The 22,090-nt window shown below is 36.9% G+C and overlaps 1 long non-coding RNA gene across 1 annotated transcript; it reads left to right on the forward strand.

Annotated features, from left to right (window-relative positions):
• Nucleotides 1-2,847: 2,847 nt before the first annotated feature.
• LOC105372186 (uncharacterized) lies at nucleotides 2,848-6,770 on the forward strand. The gene is made up of 3 exons (XR_935611.2): nucleotides 2,848-2,980; nucleotides 5,571-5,678; nucleotides 6,620-6,770. It is a non-coding gene; the product is annotated as an uncharacterized LOC105372186 (long non-coding RNA).
• Nucleotides 6,771-22,090: the final 15,320 nt, after the last annotated feature.

A 22,090-nucleotide genomic window follows, 5' to 3' on the forward strand; every position in this document is an offset into this window, starting at 1 on the left:
TACAGGGGCCTGCTACCAGGCCCTGCTAATTTTTTGTATTTTTTAGTAGAGACGGGATTTCACTGTGTTAGCCAGCATGGCCTTGATCTCCTGACCTTGTGATCTGCCCACCTCGGCCTCCCAAAGAGCTGGGATTACAGGTGTGAGCCACCGTGCCTGGCCCCAATTATTTTTATGTTAGTTGATGTTTGCCTATGCTGTTATTTTAGGATTTTGTCTCTAGTTGGTCCAAGAGCTTTGTTATTTTCATGTGGATTCATCTGTGGTTCTATTAAGTCATTCTTTTATGTCATGAATGAGGTTTTCAGCTGTGGTTATTCTATTTCATATAGTCCTCTTTGTTTCCCATTATTTTTGTAATACTATTTTCCTGACTGTGTTCCCCCAGCTCTGCAATCTCTGTATCATTAAATGCTACCATTTATTTCATTTTTAAATTTAGATTTTATTAAATTATTCAGAATTTTTAAGGTTCCTTTTTGTATAAGACACAATTGTATACACTCTTCACTTTTTGTACAACATGTCTTTTTCAAAATTAGTTTTATATGGGCTGCTCATGCCAGCCTTTCCTTCTCTCCTGCCTTCCTTGTGATGCAGAATTTTTTCTTGACCCCTTTGTGGAACTAGCAACTGGGGTACTGTGTTTACTCAGCCCGCCACATTCAACCCCTTTTGGGAGGAAGTACAGAGCAAATGAGTGCAGGAACTGGATGGCCGCTTTGGGGCTGGCAGGAGCAAACACTGTGTAGGCCCCATGACAGCATACAGGTGGGGGTGCTTGTGACCTCAAGGCCCCCGAGGGACTGTTAACAATATTCTCTTAGCTCCAATGTCTGTGGACTGCAATGTGTTATCAGCTCAGTGGGCCCTTTTCCTTATCACACGCGTGGCTGCCCTCCACCAGCAAGAGCAAAGGGCCAGTGTGACAGCCCTTTAGGGTATCTGCACTTGGTAGGGCCAAACTCTTGCCTGGTGCCTAAGAAGAATGAGGTCATGCAGATGAATTGAAGGATGGTGAAAGCAGACAATGTTATTGAGCAATGAAAGCAGCTCTCAGTGGAGACGGGGATGAAAAGAGTACTGGAAGGGCAGGTCACTTTCCCCTGAGGTCAAGTTGCCTCTCTGCCTCTCTCCTCCAGTCAGGTTGCCTCTCCCTGATTATCCAGTCACTTCTTCTGTCTACCAGCTGAGTCTGGGGTCTTTATAGGCACAGGATGGGGGCAGGTGGGCCATAGGTAGTTTTAGAAAAGGTGACATTCGATTGGTAAAAAGGCATTATTCAGAAAGAACCAACCGGGAAAGAGCAGGCAAACAGGGATACACATTCTCACTTTGGGCTGCGGGTTTCAGGCTTTTTGCCTTGAAGGTAGGGTTTTGCCTGAGTTCCATTCCTATCTGCCTAGAGTTTCTCTGTCTCCTGCCTCTATCACTTGCTTCCTCCCTTTTTTCCATCTTTTCTTTTGTCCTTCTTTTCCCTTGTGATGTGTTTGCATAAGTGTCACACCAGCCATTTTATTATCTTCCTAATATGTAAAATGGCATCTCTTTACATGCCATTAATTTGTGCTTATGGATTAAGGGTGGATCTCTCTGCATTCTTCCAATTAATCTTAAATCTTTTTTTCTATTTTTGTGAGAGTTGTAACCAGGCCTATATTATAATATAAAAATCATAACCTATTTGTTTTACTTATTTTCCTTTTTTTCCCTTTCCTTCCTCCATGCAGGATTGCTTGTACTTAGTCATTCAGTAGATGGTGGTCACTATTTGACTAATAATTATTGCCTTCATATCCTGACCCCCAGGGGCTGCCCACAATGGGGAATGAACTTGTTTTTCTTCCAAATAACAATGATCCTGAGGTCTTGCAAACTTCATTAATTACATCCAGAAGTTTGATCAGTTGAGGGGCATAGGCAGCCTAGATCATTGGGATCCCCCATTCCTACCTTACTCATGAATCCCCAGTTATTTTCGAAGGAAGGAAGGATTTGAGAGTTTGCCTCCCTTGTCCTCTTGCTTTGGCCAAATTGAGTAAACTTTTTTCTCTGCTCCTAGGTGCTGCTGTGCCCATGTTTGACTAATTGAGCTTCAGGTATTTGAGCTTAGCCTTTGGGATTCTACAACAGCTTTGTAGTTTATGAACCAATGCTTTTGATTTCCTAGAGGAAGTGTAGAAATTGGGCAGACTTAGCCAGTGTTTGTATGCCACAACCTGGAAAAACTGAGCTCCAGAATGTTTCCTTTCTACTGATCTGAGAAAATCTGATTTCAAAGGGAGTTACCTTATATTTACATATTTTTACCCAAAATGAACATGAGACTGGAGAATCTTTTGCATCCATTAGACAAAATCTAAGACATTTTTAGTCTGTGTTCCCAGATATAAAGCAGGATGAATACATGTGAACGTTTCCTTTTGGATCTTGCTTCAATAGTTTATAAAAGTGGGGAAGGGATTATAATTAGAGGCTCTTTATTCCCCCCACCATTCCTAAAAGAGATCTTATTTTTAATTTTCTTTTGTTAGCTGTTTTGCTACATTTCTGTTTGCTGATGAGAATCTTGCCTCTAAACAAGTTTTATTTATCTCTTTCATTTTCCTTCAAGTAAAAAGTCATTAAAATAGCCCTTGTCTGTTGTGAATCAAAATGGCCAAGCCGCCTCTTTTTTTCTTTATGGAAAATTTTAGATTATGAGTTGTCTACAAATTTTCCCTTCTGTTTATCTTCTAAAGCCCATTTATTTGCCTTCACTTATATGGAAGCTAAAACAGTTGAACTTATGAAAGTAGAGAGTAGAATGGCAGTTACCAGGGGCTAGCAAGGGGATTGGGGTTGGGAGGCTGTTGGTCAAAGAGTCAAATTTGCAGTTCCACAGGAGGAATAAGTACAAGAGGTCCATTATACAACATGGTGGCTACACTTAATAACAGTGTATAGTCATCTGGAAAATCACCAGGAGAGTAGATTTTAGGTACGTTTACACCCCCCCCACTCCCCACCAAAAATAAGTATGTAAGGTAATGCTTCTGTTACTGAATTCAATTTAGCTATTCCACAATGTATACATATTTCAAAACATCATGTCACACATGATACATATATACAATTTTATTTACCAATTTTAAAAGTACAATTTACAAATAAATATTTTGTGAGTACTTTGTTTACTCACCTGTTTCTTATATGCTTTTGTCAAGAAAAATTAAATTCCAAAGAGTTATACCAAGTTGTATTGTGCATAATTTAATTTTTTTATTTAAGTGTATATGCCACTTATATTTAATGTAATTACAAAATGTTTTTTACATTTAAATATGTGATCATAATTCATTATATCGTCTGTATAATTTGTCTTCATTTTTGCATTCTTTTGATTTGATTGAGAAGTGTTTCATTTTGTTTCACCCCTAAATAAATGTGTTAGTTATACTCTCTTTTGTTTTATTTGTTTGTTCACTGTGCTTTTAGCATATTGGATTCTTCTTTGTGCTGCTTCCATTAGGGAGTTTGTAACTGCTATTTATTTTCCTTTCAATTACCACCTTTACCCCTAACCCATCCCTCATAATCCCTCTGGACCCTGCCTGCTCTTGCAGAGATATTATATCTCTGATACAAACATGTTGCTACTTTCACTAAGACCTTTGAGTACATTGCATATTTTGAATATGGCAATTTCTGACATTTTCCCAGGTAAAATCTTCATTTCTTTTTCTCAGAACCTAGTTATAATTTGATAGATTCAAGCTGGATTTTTCTTTGTTTAAAAAAACATGAAGCCTATATTCAAGACAATATAGGAATAATTATGTCCTCATCTAACAGAAATGCTTCCTGGGTCCCAGTGAATCATTTAATGGTACCTTATGGAGCATATGTTTTTGTGTCTTTGTGTATGTATGTATGTATGTATGTATGTATGTATGTGTTATTATACCTGTATCTACCTCAGCGAAGGCAAATCTGCTACAAAGATTCTCAGAATTCAAACACTAGGACACTTATTTTCAGAAAGCTTCTTTTCTGTATAAAGAATATGCATTTTCTCAATCCGTTCTACATTACCAAGTAGTATCAAAATTAACTTCAAAAAACATATTCTCTGCAACCCATTTTTCCGGAGTTTGTTGGTTTTGCTCAAGGTACGGTACACCACGCAGTTTTATTTATTTATTTATTTATTTATTTATTTATTTATTTATTTATTTTTGAGACAGAGTCTTGCCCTATCGCCAGGCTGGAGTGCAGTGGCGCAATCTTGGCTCACGGCAACCTCTGCCACCCGGGTTCAAGCAATTCTCCTGCCTAAGCCTGCCGAGTAGCTGGGACTACAGGCACGCGCCACACGCAGTTTTTAAATAAATGCATTTTGCCACTTTATTTGAGAGATGCAGCTACCGTCTTCTGTTAGTGATACTCTAATGCCTCTAACTGAGCCTCCCTGGCACTGTAGTGTTTTTCCTATGGAATAATTTAAGGTTACTAATATCAAAAAAATTTTATTGAAAGTGGAATTTCTCATCTTTCTTATTTGGGGTTAATTTCCTAGAGATAAGTACTCTTTATTCTAGTAACTTATAATTAGAATGTTCATTTTTTTCTTAAAATATATTTCTATCTGAATTACCACTAAATAATTTAGATGTAGTACATTGTAGATTACAAAATGGAAAGTGTACTTTAAAGTAACTAAAATATCTAGTTAAATTTTGTTACATAATTTATTGATAATTATATGTACTTAAATAATAACTTTAAAACTTGTAGAATAAACAGATTTTATCTATCATCCACCATCTCAACAAATAGGTAAATGGTACCAACACATGTACACTTAAAAAGACAAAATGCATCCGACTTGCCTTTTTGCAAAGGGATTTCTTTTTTAGGAACTCAGAAGAAAATATTTTGGAACCAAAGAATTGAATAGACACACACACTTATTTATTTTGATTTGATTTTTGTTTAAATCAAAATATCTTAGGAACAAAATATATTCAAGACCGTTTTTGGTAAACTGGACTAAGTCTCATTAAAAAAAAAAGAGAGAGTGAAGAATGTACCAAAAAAACAACAAAAATGAACTTGAAACATTTCTGATATAAGCTAACAAATTTACTGTTTTCTTTTCAATTATAAGTTATTGTTACAACTCTATTTTTCTGTGGTCCAACTTTCTCTGTGAAGTAAAATTTGATGGTTCTATACTTCTTGACATTTTAATTCATTAGAATTACCTAAATTAATAATCACATATATCCTTCTTAGTACCTGGAGGAATTGGCAGGCGTCATTCTTTTCCCTGAGGCTGGGCTGTAGATATTAGATGTAATAATTTGAATGTGCCCTTTGGGCCACAAATACCAAAAGTAGGCAGGGGCAGAGACAGAAAAGATATATGCTTTGCACATAGTGGCTCTCCAGTATTTATGTGTTTAATCAAATATAACTACAACTGTATGACCTATCTCCTATCTTGATGGGATATTAGAAAGTGATAATATTATGGGGTGGGTGAAATTAGTTTTGCCTCCTTTGAAAGCTGTACAATCTCACTGTAGGGCACTGATGGCATGCTGTCACTCGCGGAACTTGAGCTGCACTGGTATGCAGGCCCAGCCACTGTGCCAATTGGATGGGGATCACTTTGCCTGAAGCATACAAATGAGGTATGCTAGTGATTAGATGAAAATGAGAAAAATGGACACTTTATTGCAACGTGGTTAACAGTTAATCTATGAGGTACAGGTATTAGTTCTGATTTACAAGAAAATGTAAAAAAAAGGTAGATTTTTAACAGAAAGAAGTAGGCTAGTCAAAGCTGCAGGAAAAAAACAAATAACTTTGGAACTTCAGTTGAGATTCCAGTAAAGGAAAAATAACCTTTCGGACTTGTATACTCTTTTTGTAACACATAAAATATAGGTCATGAAGTCATTAAATATTTATGCTCCTTAGCTGATGTTTCTGGGAGAATATTTAATTATAAAAGAAGTGTTATTGTCCAGCACAGTTGGGGATAGATTCGGTGAGACAAAAATATTTGGCAGAAATTAGAATATAGATCATTTCTACATGGTAATGAGTGGCCCTTAACTGAACAAGCAAAATACTTTATGAAAAATTTTAAGGGCATTATTTTGACTAACACAAGAATAATCTTTAAAATAACACATTAATTTCTATTATGTAATGTCAACAGTGGAGCTAGTTCACCTATAACTTCAGCTATAACTATTTAAGTTATAAGTTCAGCTATAACTATAGGGATAAGCATACAAGTTGAATTGAAGAACAAAATACAAGATATTTGACACAGAGCACATTTGGTTAGTTGCTCAATGGTTTACTCTTTGTTGTTACTGAAGACCCTCCAAAGGAGAGGCAAATCATAGTCTTGTGGACACCAAAAAGGAGACTTCTCTCTCTGCTGAAGGAATGGCATTCAGGCACCATTATGGATTTCGTGATGGAGGCCGCGTCATCAGGTCTACAGTGGTCTGACTGCTAGGACACCTGGTGACAAGAGAGCTTGCACCCAGTCCCTGTGCACCTGGCCTCACATCTCACATACACCTCATGTTCTCCTTTCTCCTCATGCTGCTTCCAGGAACACTCCAGACACCCGCCCTCTTGCTCTTTTGTGAGGATATGCAAAAGCTGACTGCAGGTGGATTCATGATTTCAAGAATACATAGGAGTTAAATCAGGCTCACAAAATACAAAAGAGGAAATAATAAAAGATTGAAAACATCAACTACTTAAGGGTAAGACTTCTGTTCTCCTAAGTGAACTCCCTATTTATAACCCAATTTATGAAGAAGGAGGAAAGAGAGAACTTCCAGCTGGTGATACACTCTTTCTTTCATGGGACTTTGGGAGAATGATGCGTCTGGAAAAGACATTATTGCAGACATGCAAAAGTGACACTTATTAATAGAATGATGTCACATGAGAAAAAGTTTTTAAAAATCCATTTTGTAAAAAGAAACCTGCATGTTCTGATCAGATTACCTATTGCTTTAAAAAACTAGAATTTATAGCTTTATAGACAATAGACATTAGTCACGAAGATATTTTCTATCTGTTGACTAATGTAGTCTAGAACTAGGAAGCCCCCCAAACTGAACAATATTCCTCTGAACACAGCATTTCACAACCAGTATCGGACCTTCACTTGTCACTAGAAAATAAAAAGACATCATTGCATGAGAAAAATGAACATGATTTGGAAGCTGTATCATATCTGTCTCCCTTGCTGACCCTGGTCCTTCTTGAACCCCATGAATTATTGGTAATGTTTATGTTGAATGAGATCCATGTTTCAATTGAGCCTGCTTTCATACTTTATCCTATTCAGGCATTGAAATAATCATCTCCTATAAATCAACAGGAATTAAAACAAAAGGCCTCACAAAAAAAACAAAAAAAAGGAAAATAAATATTTCAAAAACAAAAAAATACAGCTTTGAAAAGATGTTCAATTCTTTATGAATCAATATAGTACCAATTCTACTAAATATTGAAAAAAATAATCAGTACAGGTTAATTTTTCAAATATACTGATAAGGAATTCATGATAAAGACAAATTATAGAAGAAAACATATAACGCTTGCATAAAGTTAAAACTTAGAAAACCAGGAAAGACCAGTCGATATATTGCAAAAAGAAACACATGTAGAATCAAACTATTAGGAAAAACAAGAGAATAACACACATGAATTCAGAATTATGATTATTTCGGGGTGAAGGACTCTGTGGCTACAGGATGCTGTATAGTTAGCTAACATATGGCAATGTCCTGGTCTTTACCTTGGTAAAGGGCTCAAAATTCCTCGTCATGTTACTTTCCATAACTTATATTTAAATGTTACGCACATATTATTTTGGTATTTTCTATAATCATGTTTCGAATAAGTCTAAAAGTATCTTCTTTCAGGTAAGGTTACCAACAGAAATGATATTTGTCAAACTTGGCATTTATTTAAAGACAAAAAAAAAAGACTCGTTTTCCTACTCCTAATTGTTTTTCTTTTTTGGATATATACTTCCAGGACAAAAGGAAATTTTTATTTTCAAGAAATGTCTTGTGTCCCTTGCCAACATTTCTGGGAAATATGTGAAACTTTTCACTTTTTGTAAATCTCCCAAAAAATGTTTCTGACAGGTTTGAGAAAGTGTTTTTTTTTCTTTCCTTGCAGCTGTAACTAGACATATTTTCAAATCACCAAACATGCTATTCCAATATGTCAGCTCAGCATAATCATGTGTGAATAAAAGTATAATTTTAAAATGTTCACAGTGGTATCTAATATGGGTAAAATATACATTATTAAATAGTTAATTTTAAAATATATATCTACATGTTATTTGGTAGAAGTTTGAATACTAAATAACATTTAAAGCTGATGTCCCAAATAGCAAAAATTAGATGCTGGCATTAAAAAAAGAATATTTGTACCATGTTTTTAAATTACTTTTATTTATTTACTTTTATGATTAAGTATAACTAAATTTGGTTTTCATGCAAATTCAAAAACATTTATTTACTTTCTTAAATAGAAGTAATTTTGTGCATGTATATCTGTGCATATATATAATTTGCTAATAAAATATAGAATAAAATTGTAACCCTCACAAACCATTCCATAATTACATAGATATTTTTATAAGATTTTTAGTAGACAGCCAAGAAGCTAAGGGATTTTTCCTCAGTATTTGCTAATTGAGATAATTTTTATAGTCATAATGCTGATTTAAGAATTTTGTTTTGTGATTGACCTAATTCTGTGGGTTTTCTCATCATTGAACATTGTTTTTGACAAGTAAAATATTAACTAACTTTTGGCAAAATTCTTTCTAAATACTTTTAATTTATCTTTGTTATTTGGCTTTCTACTTTTTACAAATTATTTCCGCATCAGATGGTTATTTGTTGAACAATTTGATTGACTTGTTATATTAATTAAAAACACAAAATAAGGCCTGGCATGGTGGCTCATGCCTGTAATCCCAACAGGGATGCTGAGGCGGGTGGTTCACTTAAGGTCAGGAGTTCCAGACCAGACTGGACCACATGGTCAAACCTCGTTTCTACTAAAACTACAAAAATTAGCCAGGTGTGGTGGCGGGCGCCTGTAATCCCAGCTACTCGGGAGGCAGAGGTTGCAGTGAGCCTAGATCGTGCCACTGCATTCCAGCATGGGTAACAGAGCAAGACTCCATCTCAAAAAGAACAAACAAACAAAACACACAGAATAAAACAATTATGTGCTATATTCAAGAACTTGTGACTATATTCATTGGCAAGTAAATCACTCTCATAGTCACAATTCCACGGTGGTCCATTTAAAAGGCTGATCTCGCAATGTCTACATCTATCGTGGTGGTTGTGAGTGATGAGGACAATTCAGATGTTCATTATTGTTAGGGTTACTGAGTCCAATCAGACATATATCCTGAATGGAATGTAATATAGTGGTTAGAAGCATCAGATTTACCCTAAGAAACATATATTTAAACACACACACACACATTTTGTTGAGAAAAATCACACTACTTACCAACAGCGCTATTTCAGTGAGACACGCCAAATGCATGAAAACAAACACCTATGGGGAGTAGGTATCAGGCAGAAGGGAAGGATGTTAAAAAGGAAGGAGCGATTTCCAATTAATGAATCAATTAAGCAGAAAGACCTCGCACAGATGTAATTCAATGTGTTGGGAGCACAATTAGTGCAATGCCTTAAATCTGATTTTTAAAAATAACAATAAAAAAGAGGATAAAACTATTGATGATAGAAAAACTTTGAGTAGAAGCAGAACTGTAGCAAAACCTATATGCCCCTGTTTGAAACTATATGGGACAGAAGATCATAGCAGCCTACAACTGAGAAAGTTTCTTGGGACATATTATTGTCAGGTCGACTTTTCATTTGATATTCAAATTCTTAGATATGCGTGATTGGTTTGGATCTGTGTCCCCACCCAAATCTCGTCAAATTGTAATCCCTAATGCTGGAGATAGGTCCTTCTGGGACGTGATTGGATCATGGAGGTGAATCTCTCATGAATGATTTAGTACCATCCCCTTGGTACTGTCCTCACAATAGTGAGTGATTTCTTGAGAAATCTGGTTGTTTAAAAGTGTGGGCCTGGTGCGGTGGCTCACGCCTGTAATCCGAGCACTTTGGGAGGCCGAGGTGAGCAGATCACAAGGTCAGGGGTTCAAGATCAGCCTAAACAGCCTGAAACCCCGTCTCTACTAAAAATACAAAAATTAGCCAGGTGTGGTGGTGCACGCCTGTAGTCCCAGCTGCTCAGGAGTCTGCGGCAGGAGAATCGCTTCGACCCGGGAGGCAGAGGTTGCAATGAGCCAAGATAGCACCACTGCATTCCAGCCTGGGTGAAAGAGTGAGACTCTAAGAAAAAAAAAAAAGTGTATAGCACCCCCCCACCCCACACCTTGCTCCTGCTCCCACCAAGCGTGGCACCTCGTTCAACCTTTACCTTCTGCCATGATCGGAAGCTTCGTGAGGGCTTCCCAGAAAGAGAAGCTACTATGCTTCCTGTACAGCCTGCAGGGTCATGCCAATTAGGTCTCTTTTCTTTGTAGATTACCCAGTCTCAGATAGTTTTTATCTCAGATCAATGCAATAATGGATTGATACAATCTTAGAGAAATGTTGAAGACCAGCGGTGAGTCTCTTCTCCATACAACAGGAATTCAAAGAGCTAACTAGAGGGTCATAACACAATACAGTCAGCATTGAATGGACTGGAGTTCAACAACAACAACAACAACAACAACAACAACAAGACCAAGAGGAGAGTGAAGAGTATACCAGGGAGTCTTTCTTTCCAGGAATGTGTGATGGTTAATTTTATGTGTCATCTTGACTGGGCTAAGGGATACCCAGAACGCTAGTAAAACATTATTTCTGGGTGTGACCATGAGAGTGTTTAGGGAGGGTATTTCCTGAGCATGCGAGTCAGTAGACTGAGTAAAGAAGACCCATCCTCACCGCTGGGAAGGCACCCAAATCCCTTTAGGGCCTGAACAGAATATAAAGGTGGAGGAAGGATAAATTTTCTCTTTGTCTTCTAAGCTGGGGCACACATCTTCTCCCGCCTTTGTAGCATCTGATTCTTAAGTCTTCAGAATCAAATTGAGAGTTACACTGTTCACTCTCCTGGTTCTTGGGCCTTCCAACTAGGACTAAATCATGTCATTGGTTTTGCTGGTTCCCTAGTTTGCAGATAGCAGAGGGTGAGACTTTTAGGCCTTCATAATTGCTTGAGAAAATTGCCATGACACACATGCGCACACACACACACACACACACACACACACACAAACACACACGCACACACACACACAATCTTTGTATACATACAAATAATACCACATATATGCGTGTATGTATACACACACATCTTATTGGTTCTGTGTCTCTGAACAATCCTTACAAATAGAGAACGTGATAAATAGCATATGTTCACTTTGTCATAAATATAATTGAGAAATAACTATAGTCAGTTAAAATAATGCATGTCCACATTTAAAATTAAAATAGAAAAGCAGAGCTGGAAAAATTCAGATAAAATTTATTTTGAACTATAACATTAAACATAATTTAATTGTATATACAACATGCAAAATTAAATACTTTTATAAATCAAATGTATACTATTCAAAAACGGTCAATTTTTGTCAGTGGAGACATTCTGCTGAGTGTGGAATATCATGTTCTTTGACCTATTTGATAAATATTATGTCATATCATTCAACAGCTTTGAAACTTTGGATCTCTTCTTTTTCCTGAGCTGATCTATTGGGTAGCAAATTTGATGATTTGAAAAGATATATCACTACAAATGAAATATTGGCTCATATATTTTGGCATAATTATGATTCTCCTATTGACAGCACATGTACAAGTCATTTAACAATATTTTTTAACATTTTATGTGCAAAAATTTTAAACATAACAGTTTAAAATATGTGTTACAAATATAAAAACAGTACAGAAAACTGCCATATATACTTCACCCGGATAGACTGATTATTATTTTACTATTATGTTTTATAGTTTGAATTCTATTTCACACATGTGTATGTGCATATATGTTTAAGTTTATATACAAATACATAAACATAAATTTTTTCTGAACCATTTGTAAGTTGCACCCCGGACATTTTCCCCTAAATACTTCAGTATGTATTTCCTAAGAATAGAGAAATTTTTTTATATAATTAAAATATTTCGGTATATATAATATTGACATAATATTTAATCTACCGTCAATAGCATTATTATTAATTATTATTATTACTATTATATTGAGATGGGGTCTCGCTCTGTCATCCAGGCTGGAGTGATCTTGGCTCACTGCAACCTCTGCCTCCCGGATTCAAGCAATTCTCCCACCTCAGCCTCCCGACTAGCTGTGATTACAGGGGCGCACCAGCACGCCCGGCTAATTTTTGCATTTTTAGTAGACACAGGGTTTCACCATGTTGGCCAATTTCATATTATTTTTAATTGGACATATTATATGCTTTGTAGCATTTTACTTTTCTCTAAGTCTGAATCTGATCTAGGATTAAATATTACATTTCACTGCCACATAGCTTCAGTGTTCTTAATCCTGGAACATTACCACAATGTTTCTTTATCTTTTACAATATAGTACTTTAAAATAGAATCATTCTCCCTTTTTTACTTTTAATATAAAATGTTTTTATCAAGGATTTGTATGACATTCATTCATGGTTAAATTTACGTTCTGCGTTCCACACTTTTATGCTGCATAAGCTATGTTGTGTCCTCAGACAATCACGTCTGGAGGCATAGAATGGCCATCTGTCTATCACTGATGATGCTAATTCTGATTCTCTGGTCCACTGTAGACTTTTTTCTCATGTAATTAATAAGCAATCCATGGAAAGACATTTTAAGATTGTGTGCATATCCTCATCAATATTTTCCCTGAAATTTAGCATCCATTAATGGGTTTGCATGAGCCAATCTTCATAGCGATGTCACAAAATAATATTTTTCTATTTCAAGCCTTCCCTCTGAATTTACTTGTTGGCACTCAAGTTTATGTTCTGTAAATAACAGTACTCGTAAGTCAGATTTAATTTAATATTATTTATTTACTTATTATAACTTAAGACTCACAGATTTCAAATATTTAATACTTTATAATTTATTATTGTGTCAACTCATGATGTTGCTCAAATTGACCCAGATATGGCTAGCTCCTGTGTCCTTCTGGCATGTCCTCTTCATTTTTAGGAGGTCATCGAATTACTTTTTGTTGTAACCAAATAATCCAGTATTATCTTGTATTTATTTTGCTTTGGTCCATTATTCTGCCATTTCTCCAAGGAGTCCTACTCAAAGCATTTCTTTTAACCTTAGAAAATCAGAAAATTGCTTAGAAATAGTTGTAGATCATTATTTATATTTTCATAAAAGACCCACTACTACATCTGACAAGGAGGATAATCAAATGCCCTGCTTATATTTTTATCTTTGGATATTCATAAAGAGAACTTTCATTATTTAATATGCCATCCAAAGTTCATAGAAGATAATATCCATGATCTTATTGTAGACTTGTAACCATTTTGACAATTTAATTTTTTAAGAAAAATGGCAAGTCACAAAAATTATCAAAAGGCCAAAACCATCTAAATCTGTAAAATTATTTCAAATGCCAGTTGCTGTCAGGTTTAGTTTCATGGCTTTTTGCATTAAAACCTGTTATCAAACTGTAGAAATAAATATTCCTTTTCATTATCACATTTTATGTAGTGATTCAGAAGGCAGTTGAGTTTTATCGTTTGAACGTATTAGCAATTGTGTAAAATTCAGGGAGACTCTAGACTTTAATTCAGACCCTGGGGCAGTCAATACTTGCCAGAACCAACTCTCAGGTAAGGAAAATCAACTTATTTCAGTAGGAGAACTCCTCTTTTTGTTTTTGTTTTTTAAATAAGTAGACATTGACTTGCCCTATTTCAGGGTCACAGTTTTAGCAAGAGGCAGAAGCAGCAAAAACATCTAAACCTAAAAAATCCTTCAGGAATCTTCTCCAATAAGCCACTAGGTTGTATGTTGTGAGTAGCACAGAGGTAGCAATAGCTTCTCACCACCCCACATACCACCAGCAGGTTGTGGGCACAATCACAGCTGTGTGCTATGGATGAAAACGACTCTGTTTGAGGTCTGCCTAAAGGATGGGTATCCCCTGGTCAGATCAGGAAGATCATGGACTGATCTTTGCTGGTATATTTTTATTGAATGTGAAATGTCTGTGCCCTAAAAAGAAATAGTGATTTAGGATATTTGCAGGTTAATTAACTTACATTTTTAAAGGAAATAAAACCAGGTATACCTGCTTAAACAGGTATCTGTTCCCCTGTGTTCATTGCAGCACTATTCACAATTGCCAATATATAGAATAGATCTGAGTGTCCATCAGTGGATGAATACATAAAGAACATGCAGTATATATACACAATGGAATACTATCCAGCTTTAATAAAGAGGAAAATCTTGTCATTTTGGATGGCATAGATGAATCAAGAAGACATTATGTTAAGTGAAACAATTCAAGCCCAGAAAGAAGCAGGGACTAGAATGATGGTTACCAGGGACTGAGGGTGAAGAGAGTTGGGGACATGCTGGCTAAAGAAGGGGTCCCCAAGCTCTGGACCACAGACCAGTATCAGTCCATGGCCTGTTAGGAACCGAGCCACACAGCAGGAGGTGAGTGGCAGGTAAGCAAGCGAGCATTACTGCCTGAGCTCTGCCTCCTGCCAAACCAGTGCGACATTAGATTCTCAAAGGAGCACGAACCCTATTGGGAACTGTGCATGTGAGGGATCTAGGTTGTGTGCTTCTCATGAGAGATTAATTAAAGCCTGATAATCTAAGGTGGAACAGTTTCATCCTGAAACCATCCTCCCAACTCTAGCTCTGTTTGTGGAAAAATTGTCTTGCACAAAACCAGTTCCTGGTTGGGGACCAAACCAAAAAATTTGGGGACCCCTGGGACCCCTGGGCCAAAGGATACAAAATTTCATTTATATAAGAGGAATAAGTTTTAAAAATCTATTGTACAGCATGATGACTATAGTTAACAATGTGTATTGTGTTTGTAAGACTTGCCAAAAGAGTAGATATTCAGTGCTCTCATCACAAAAAAATGATAAGTATGTGAGTAAGGCATATGTTAATTAGCTCAATTTAACCACTCCACGATGTACCCATAGTATAAACAACATGCATATGATACATCTATACAATATTTTTGTCAATTAAAAATTAATTAATTAGAAAACGAATTTCACCCTTTCTTCCCACTGTATCCTAAATTCCCAAACTTATAATCCATGGGGTGTCATGATACTCACTCCTATCCATGATACTTTTCCCCCTTGCATACAACTTAGTTTTGCTTCTTTATTCCTTTACTGTGCTCTCTTGGATAAGCCACACCATTTTTAAATGTAACTCTCTGCCTATCGTTATCAATGGTCTCGAAGCTGAACTTGGGAAAAAATACAAAACCACGGGGGCTGCTCTCCATGTCAATTCATGATCAACAACTCCAAGGAGGCACTCGAAGTTTCTGGCAGTCAGACGATCCTTCTGTAGTGCTTCCTCTCTCTCACTCTACTAGATGACTGTTAAATGATTCTAGCATTTCTACAAACCTCCCCTTCCCTTGGTTTCAGTTGCTTATCAAGTTTGCTAGTTAAGAATTTGTTTTTTTTTTTTTTTTTTTTTTTTTATTATACTCTAAGTTTTAGGGTACATGTGCACATTGTGCAGGTTAGTTACATATGTATACATGTGCCATGCTGGTGCGCTGCACCCACTAATGTGTCATCTAGCATTAGGTATATCTCCCAATGCTATCCCTCCCCCCTCCCCCGACCCCACCACAGTCCCCAGAGTGTGATATTCCCCTTCCTGTGTCCATGTGATCTCATTGTTCAATTCCCACCCATGAGTGAGAATATGCGGTGTTTGGTTTTTTGTTCTTGCGATAGTTTACTGAGAATGATGGTTTCCAATTTCATCCATGTCCCTACAAAGGATATGAACTCATCATTTTTTATGGCTACATAGTATTCCATGGTGTATATGTGCCACATTTTCTTAATCCAGTCTATCATTGTTGGACATTTGGGTTGGTTCCAAGTCTTTGCTATTGTGAATAGTGCCGCAATAAACATACGTGTGCATGTGTCTTTATAGCAGCATGATTTATAGTCCTTTGGGTATATACCCAGTAATGGGATGGCTGGGTCAAATGGTATTTTTAGTTCTAGATCCCTGAGGAATCGCCACACTGACTTCCACAATGGTTGAACTCGTTTACAGTCCCACCAACAGTGTAAAAGTGTTCCTATTTCTCCACATCCTCTCCAGCACCTGTTGTTTCCTGACTTTTTAATGATTGCCATTCTAACTGGTGTGAGATGATATCTCATCGTGGTTTTGATTTGCATTTCTCTGATGGCCAGTGATGATGAGCATTTCTTCATGTGTTTTTTGGCTGCATAAATGTCTTCTTTTGAGAAGTGTCTGTTCATGTCCTTCGCCCACTTTTTGATGGGGTTGTTTGTTTTTTTCTTGTAAATTTGTTTGAGTTCATTGTAGATTCTGGATATTAGCCCTTTGTCAGATGAGTAGGTTGCGAAAATTTTCTCCCATGTTGTAGGTTGCCTGTTCACTCTGATGGTAGTTTCTTTTGCTGTGCAGAAGCTCTTTAGTTTAAATTAGGTATTGATGGGACGTATTTCAAAATAATAAGAGCTATCTATGACAAACCCACAGCCAATATCATACTGAATGGGCAAAAACTGGAAGCATTCCCTTTGAAAACTGGCACAAGACAGGGATGCCCTCTCTCACCGCTCCTATTCAACATAGTGTTGGAAGTTCTGGCCAGGGCAATCAGGCAGGAGAAGGAAATAAAGGGTATTCAATTAGGAAAAGAGGAAGTCAAATTGTCCCTGTTTGCAGACGACATGATTGTTTATCTAGAAAACCCCATCGTCTCAGCCCAAAATCTCCTTAAGCTGATAAGCAACTTCAGCAAAGTCTCAGGATACAAAATCAATGTACAAAAATCACAAGCATTCTTATACACCAACAACAGACAAACAGAGAACCAAATCATGGGTGAACTCCCATTCACAATTGCTTCAAAGAGAATAAAATACCTAGGAATCCAACTTACAAGGGATGTGAAGGACCTCTTCAAGGAGAACTACAAACCACTGCTCAAGGAAATAAAAGAGGACACAAACAAATGGAACAACATTCCATGCTCATGGGTAGGAAGAATCAATATCGTGAAAATGGCCATACTGCCCAAGGTAATTTACAGATTCAATGCCATCCCCATCAAGCTACCAATGACTTTCTTCACAGAATTGGAAAAAACTACTTTAAAGTTCATATGGAACCAAAAAAGAGCCCGCATTGCCAAGTCAATCCTAAGCCAAAAGAACAAAGCTGGAGGCATCACACTACCTGACTTCAAACTATACTACAAGGCTACAGTAACCAAAGCAGCATGGTACTGGTACCAAAACAGAGATATAGATCAATGGAACAGAACAGAGCCCTCAGAAATAATGCCGCATATCTACAACTATCTGATCTTTGACAAACCTGAGAAAAACGAGCAATGGGGAAAGGATTCCCTATTTAATAAATGGTGCTGGGAAAACTGGCTAGCCATATGTAGAAAGCTGAAACTGGATCCCTTCCTTACACCTTATACAAAAATCAATTCAAGATGGATTAAAGATTTAAACGTTAGACCTAAAACCATAAAAACCCTAGAAGAAAACCTAGGCATTACCATTCAGGACATAGGCGTGGGCAAGGACTTCATGTCCAAAACACCAAAAGCAATGGCAACAAAAGCTAGTTAAGAATTTGAAGCAGTTTAAAGGGAACTTTGAAAAACAACTAACCACCTGCTGCTGAGCCCACATATTCCTTCTTCACTCTTGGATAAATTTTTGCCATGTCCAGGTAAGATCCACATCTCTATGCATAGATTCATCCTCTCTTCTTCGAGAAAAACCTCTGATCTTCTGCTTTAACGATTTTTATCTCTTACTGAATTATTCACATTAGCATACAAAATGCTGCTATGACTTTTATTTTAAAATGAGCGGCTTCTGCAACACTTCCCTTTGAGCCACAACTCCATTTCTCTAGTCGTTGTTACACAAAAACTCTCTCTAAGAGTAATGTGTATGTTTTTCTCTGCCTATTTTTTTTCTTGAACACATTCCATTCATGATTTTTTTCCTTCCACTATAGCAAAAATGCTATTGTCATGATTAACATTGACCAATCCTTTCACAAATCCAACATTAATTTTTTATTCATCATCATAGTTTACTTATAAGCAATAGTTGTTAATTATTCCCTTCTCATTGAGTCACTTTTTTAAAATTTTGCTTCTGAAATGCCATATTTGCCTTCCTACCACTTTTGTTTTTTAAAAATATTTATTTTTCCTTTAAATGATTCTTTCTTATCAATTGGACCTATCTATTTTGGAGCACTTCAGGATTCTGTTCACAGACAGTTAATTTCTATTTTCTGTCTATATTCAGTCCCCAGGTGATATTATTCAAGTTCACATTTCATGTTTTGGATTATTCGTATGTGTGTGTGTGTGTTTGTGTGTGTGTGTTTGTGTTTAAATATATATCTCCAGTCTAAATATTTTCTCTGAACTCCACAATAACCACTTCTTCCTTCTTTTTCTCAGTCATAAGCCATGGTATCATCCTCAACTCTTCTGCTTTCTTCCTATCCCACATGTAGTTTATAATATTATACCCTCTCAATATGTCAAGGATATGAACACATCTCTATCATCACTGCCTAAACCCAGATTCAAGTCACCATGAGATCTTCTTGCCTGAAATATTGCAAAGCCTTTCCAAAGAGTATTCCTGCTTTTAATACCTGTTTCGCTTCAGGATATCCTCAAAATAGAAGCCACAGTAATCATTTCAAAACATATGCCAAGTCATTTTTATTACTTGATTCAAAATACTCCCAAATGTACTCAGAAAATAACAAAAGCCAAAGTTATTAACATGACCACATTACCTCCCATGTCTATGTTTACTATGACCCTTTTCCTTTTTCAATTTGTTCTGACAAAGTAATTTTATCCTTACTTACTCTTTTGAGGTATATTAAACGCCCAAGAACTTTCTTTCTTTTTTTTTTTCTTTTTTTGAGATGGAATCTCGCTCTGTCACCCAGGCTGGAGTGCAGTGGTGCAGTCTCGGCTCACTGCAAGCTCTGCCTCCCGGGTTCACGCCACTCTCCTGCCTCAGCCTCCCGAGTAGTGGGGACTACAGGCACCCGCCACCATGCCCGGCTAATTTGTTTTCTATTTTTAGTAGAGAGGAGGTTTCACCCTGTTAGCCAGGATGGTCTCAGTCACCTGACCTCGTGATCTGCCTGCCTCAGCCTCCCAATGTGCTGGGATTACAGGTATGAGCCATCGTGCCCAGCCTAAACACCCAAGAACTTTCTAGAACTCAGTGTCTGGTATATGTTTCTTCTGCCTGGAATGCTCCCTGACATCACTCAACTCTTTTTTCTAGTCACTTTCTCTGCAAAGATTGTGCTATAAGCCCATTTCAAAATTTCAATACTGCCCAACTTGCTAATTCCGTTTCCTGGTTTACTTTTTTGTGTAGCTTTTCCCACTAACATATTATAAATATTCACTCATTCACTGCATATTATATGCATTTCACAGTAGAATATAGGCTCAATGAGGCCAGAAAATGTTGTCTATTTTTTTCTCTTCTTGTGTTAGTCTATCACCCTTCTAATAAAGACATACATGAGACTAGGTAATTTATAAAGGAAAAAGGTTTAATGTACTCACAGTTCCACATGGCTGAGGAGGCCTCACAATCATGGCAGAAGGTGAATGAGGAACAAAATCACATCTTACATGGCAACAGGAAAGAGAGTGTGTGCAGGGTAACTCCCTTTTATAAAACCATCAGATCTCATGAGACTTATTCACTATCATGAGAACAGCACAAGAAAGACCCGCCCCATGATTCAGGTGCCTCACTCTGGGTCCCTCCCACTACATGTGAGGATTATGGGAGCTACAAGTCAAGATGAGATTTGGGTGGGGACACACCCAAACTATATCACTTCTATAACCCTGCCCTCATAAAAGTACCTTGCTGAGATGTATTTGTTTAATTAATTAAAATTAAATAGACAACAAATACTTTATTGTTATCTTCTAATAACACTTTAAGCAAAGTGTCCTTTGATACAATATTTTATACCATTGATCCCTTATCCAAAAAATGAACACCTCCACTCCAAATTATATATCTCTCTCAGATTTGGGGAGCTCTACCAACATTCTCTTGCAAGTATTTAACTGAAAATAATGCTGCTAGGTTTTCTCAGTCCATGTTACATATGAGGAACTCTTGAGCTATAGACAATTTTTAAGCCACATTCCATTGTATTACTGTTTGATAGCTTATGGAGAAGACTACCATGAAGAACATTAGATTATCTGTTATCTTTCTTGATCTTTACATGGCCTTTGTTTCTAAGAAAAAATAATTGCTTACAGCCTAAGTTTGACTAGCTAAATATAGAGTCCCACCAGCTTTGTCGTGGACACTGATGTATTACTGCAAAATTATGACCCGGTAGGAAAGAGTCGGGTGTATCTTTCAGAATTGGTGGGGAAGGAAGGGTCCTGTCTTGCCCTGCTGTTCTTTCCACTTCCTCTCTCCCATTGTTTATTCTTTTTGGGTAGGGTAGCTGGACTGGACTTTCTAACACCACCATCAAGATAAATTTATAAACATTATTATTTTTGTTATTCCCAAAAGTTACAGAAACATAAATGTTCTACTAGATGTGGAGCGAAGAGACAACTGAGACCCTTGCCTATCCATGAGCATTTGGAAGGAATAATTAAAGATCAGCCATTTCCAAGATTAAATTACTATTTTGAGATCCTGGTAGTGTTTAGCTGACTTACAAACTGTAAGATCTTAAACTATGACACTGTTCACTTGATGCATATTTTGCAAAAAGGTTTTCCTGCCCAGTCAAGCAGGAAGTTGCACTTTCCTAAGCTGAGCAATCTCTGGTTGATTTATTTGGGATGAGATCCTAACTTTTTTATTTTGGATGAGACTAATGTCTAGTTCTACCTTGTCAGGATTAGACTGACATAAATTTGATGAATAGATGAAAATAATGTAAAATGAGGAATGTAGTGTTGCTTAATTCCAGTTTCCTCACATGGCTACTTAATTCACTGATGAAGCTTGAAATATTTTCAGTCCTCAAGTCTCACGCATGCCTATATTTCAAATATACCTTTGCAAATGAAATAGATTAAGAAACACTGGGCTGCTGGATGATGCTACACTGCTTGCCACCAACATTTACATAAAATAATTATCACGCACATATGCAAACACTCCTATGCTTACACATTTTCTTATGTTTTAATGTATTCATCTAACTGAAACTTTATACCTGTTGAACAATAGCCCTCCATTTCTCTCTCCACCAGCACCTAGAAACCATCATTCTCCTCTCTGTTACTATGAGTTTTACTTTTAAAAAATTTTTTATTTGTTTTTTTATTTTTTGAGATGGAGTCTTGCTCTGTCGCCAAGCTGGAGTGCAGTAGCGCTATCTCGGCTTGCTGCAACCTCCACCTCCAGGGTTCAAGCGATTTTCCTGCCTCAGCCTCCTGAGTAGCTGAGACTATAGGTGCCCGCCACCACAGCCAGCTAATTTTTGTATTTTTAGTAGAGACAGGCTTTCACCATGTTTGCCAGGATGGTCTCCATCTCCTGACCTCGTGATCCACCCGCCTTGGTTCCCCAAAGTGCTGAGATTAAAGGAGCCACTGCGCCTGGGCAAGTTTTACTATTTTAAATACATCTGATGTGGTTTGGCTTTGTGTCCCCACCAAAATCTCATCTTGAGTTGTAATC

Source organism: Homo sapiens, chromosome 18 (genome assembly GCF_000001405.40).
Source record: "Homo sapiens chromosome 18, GRCh38.p14 Primary Assembly".
NCBI classification, from domain to species: Eukaryota; Metazoa; Chordata; class Mammalia; order Primates; family Hominidae; genus Homo; species Homo sapiens.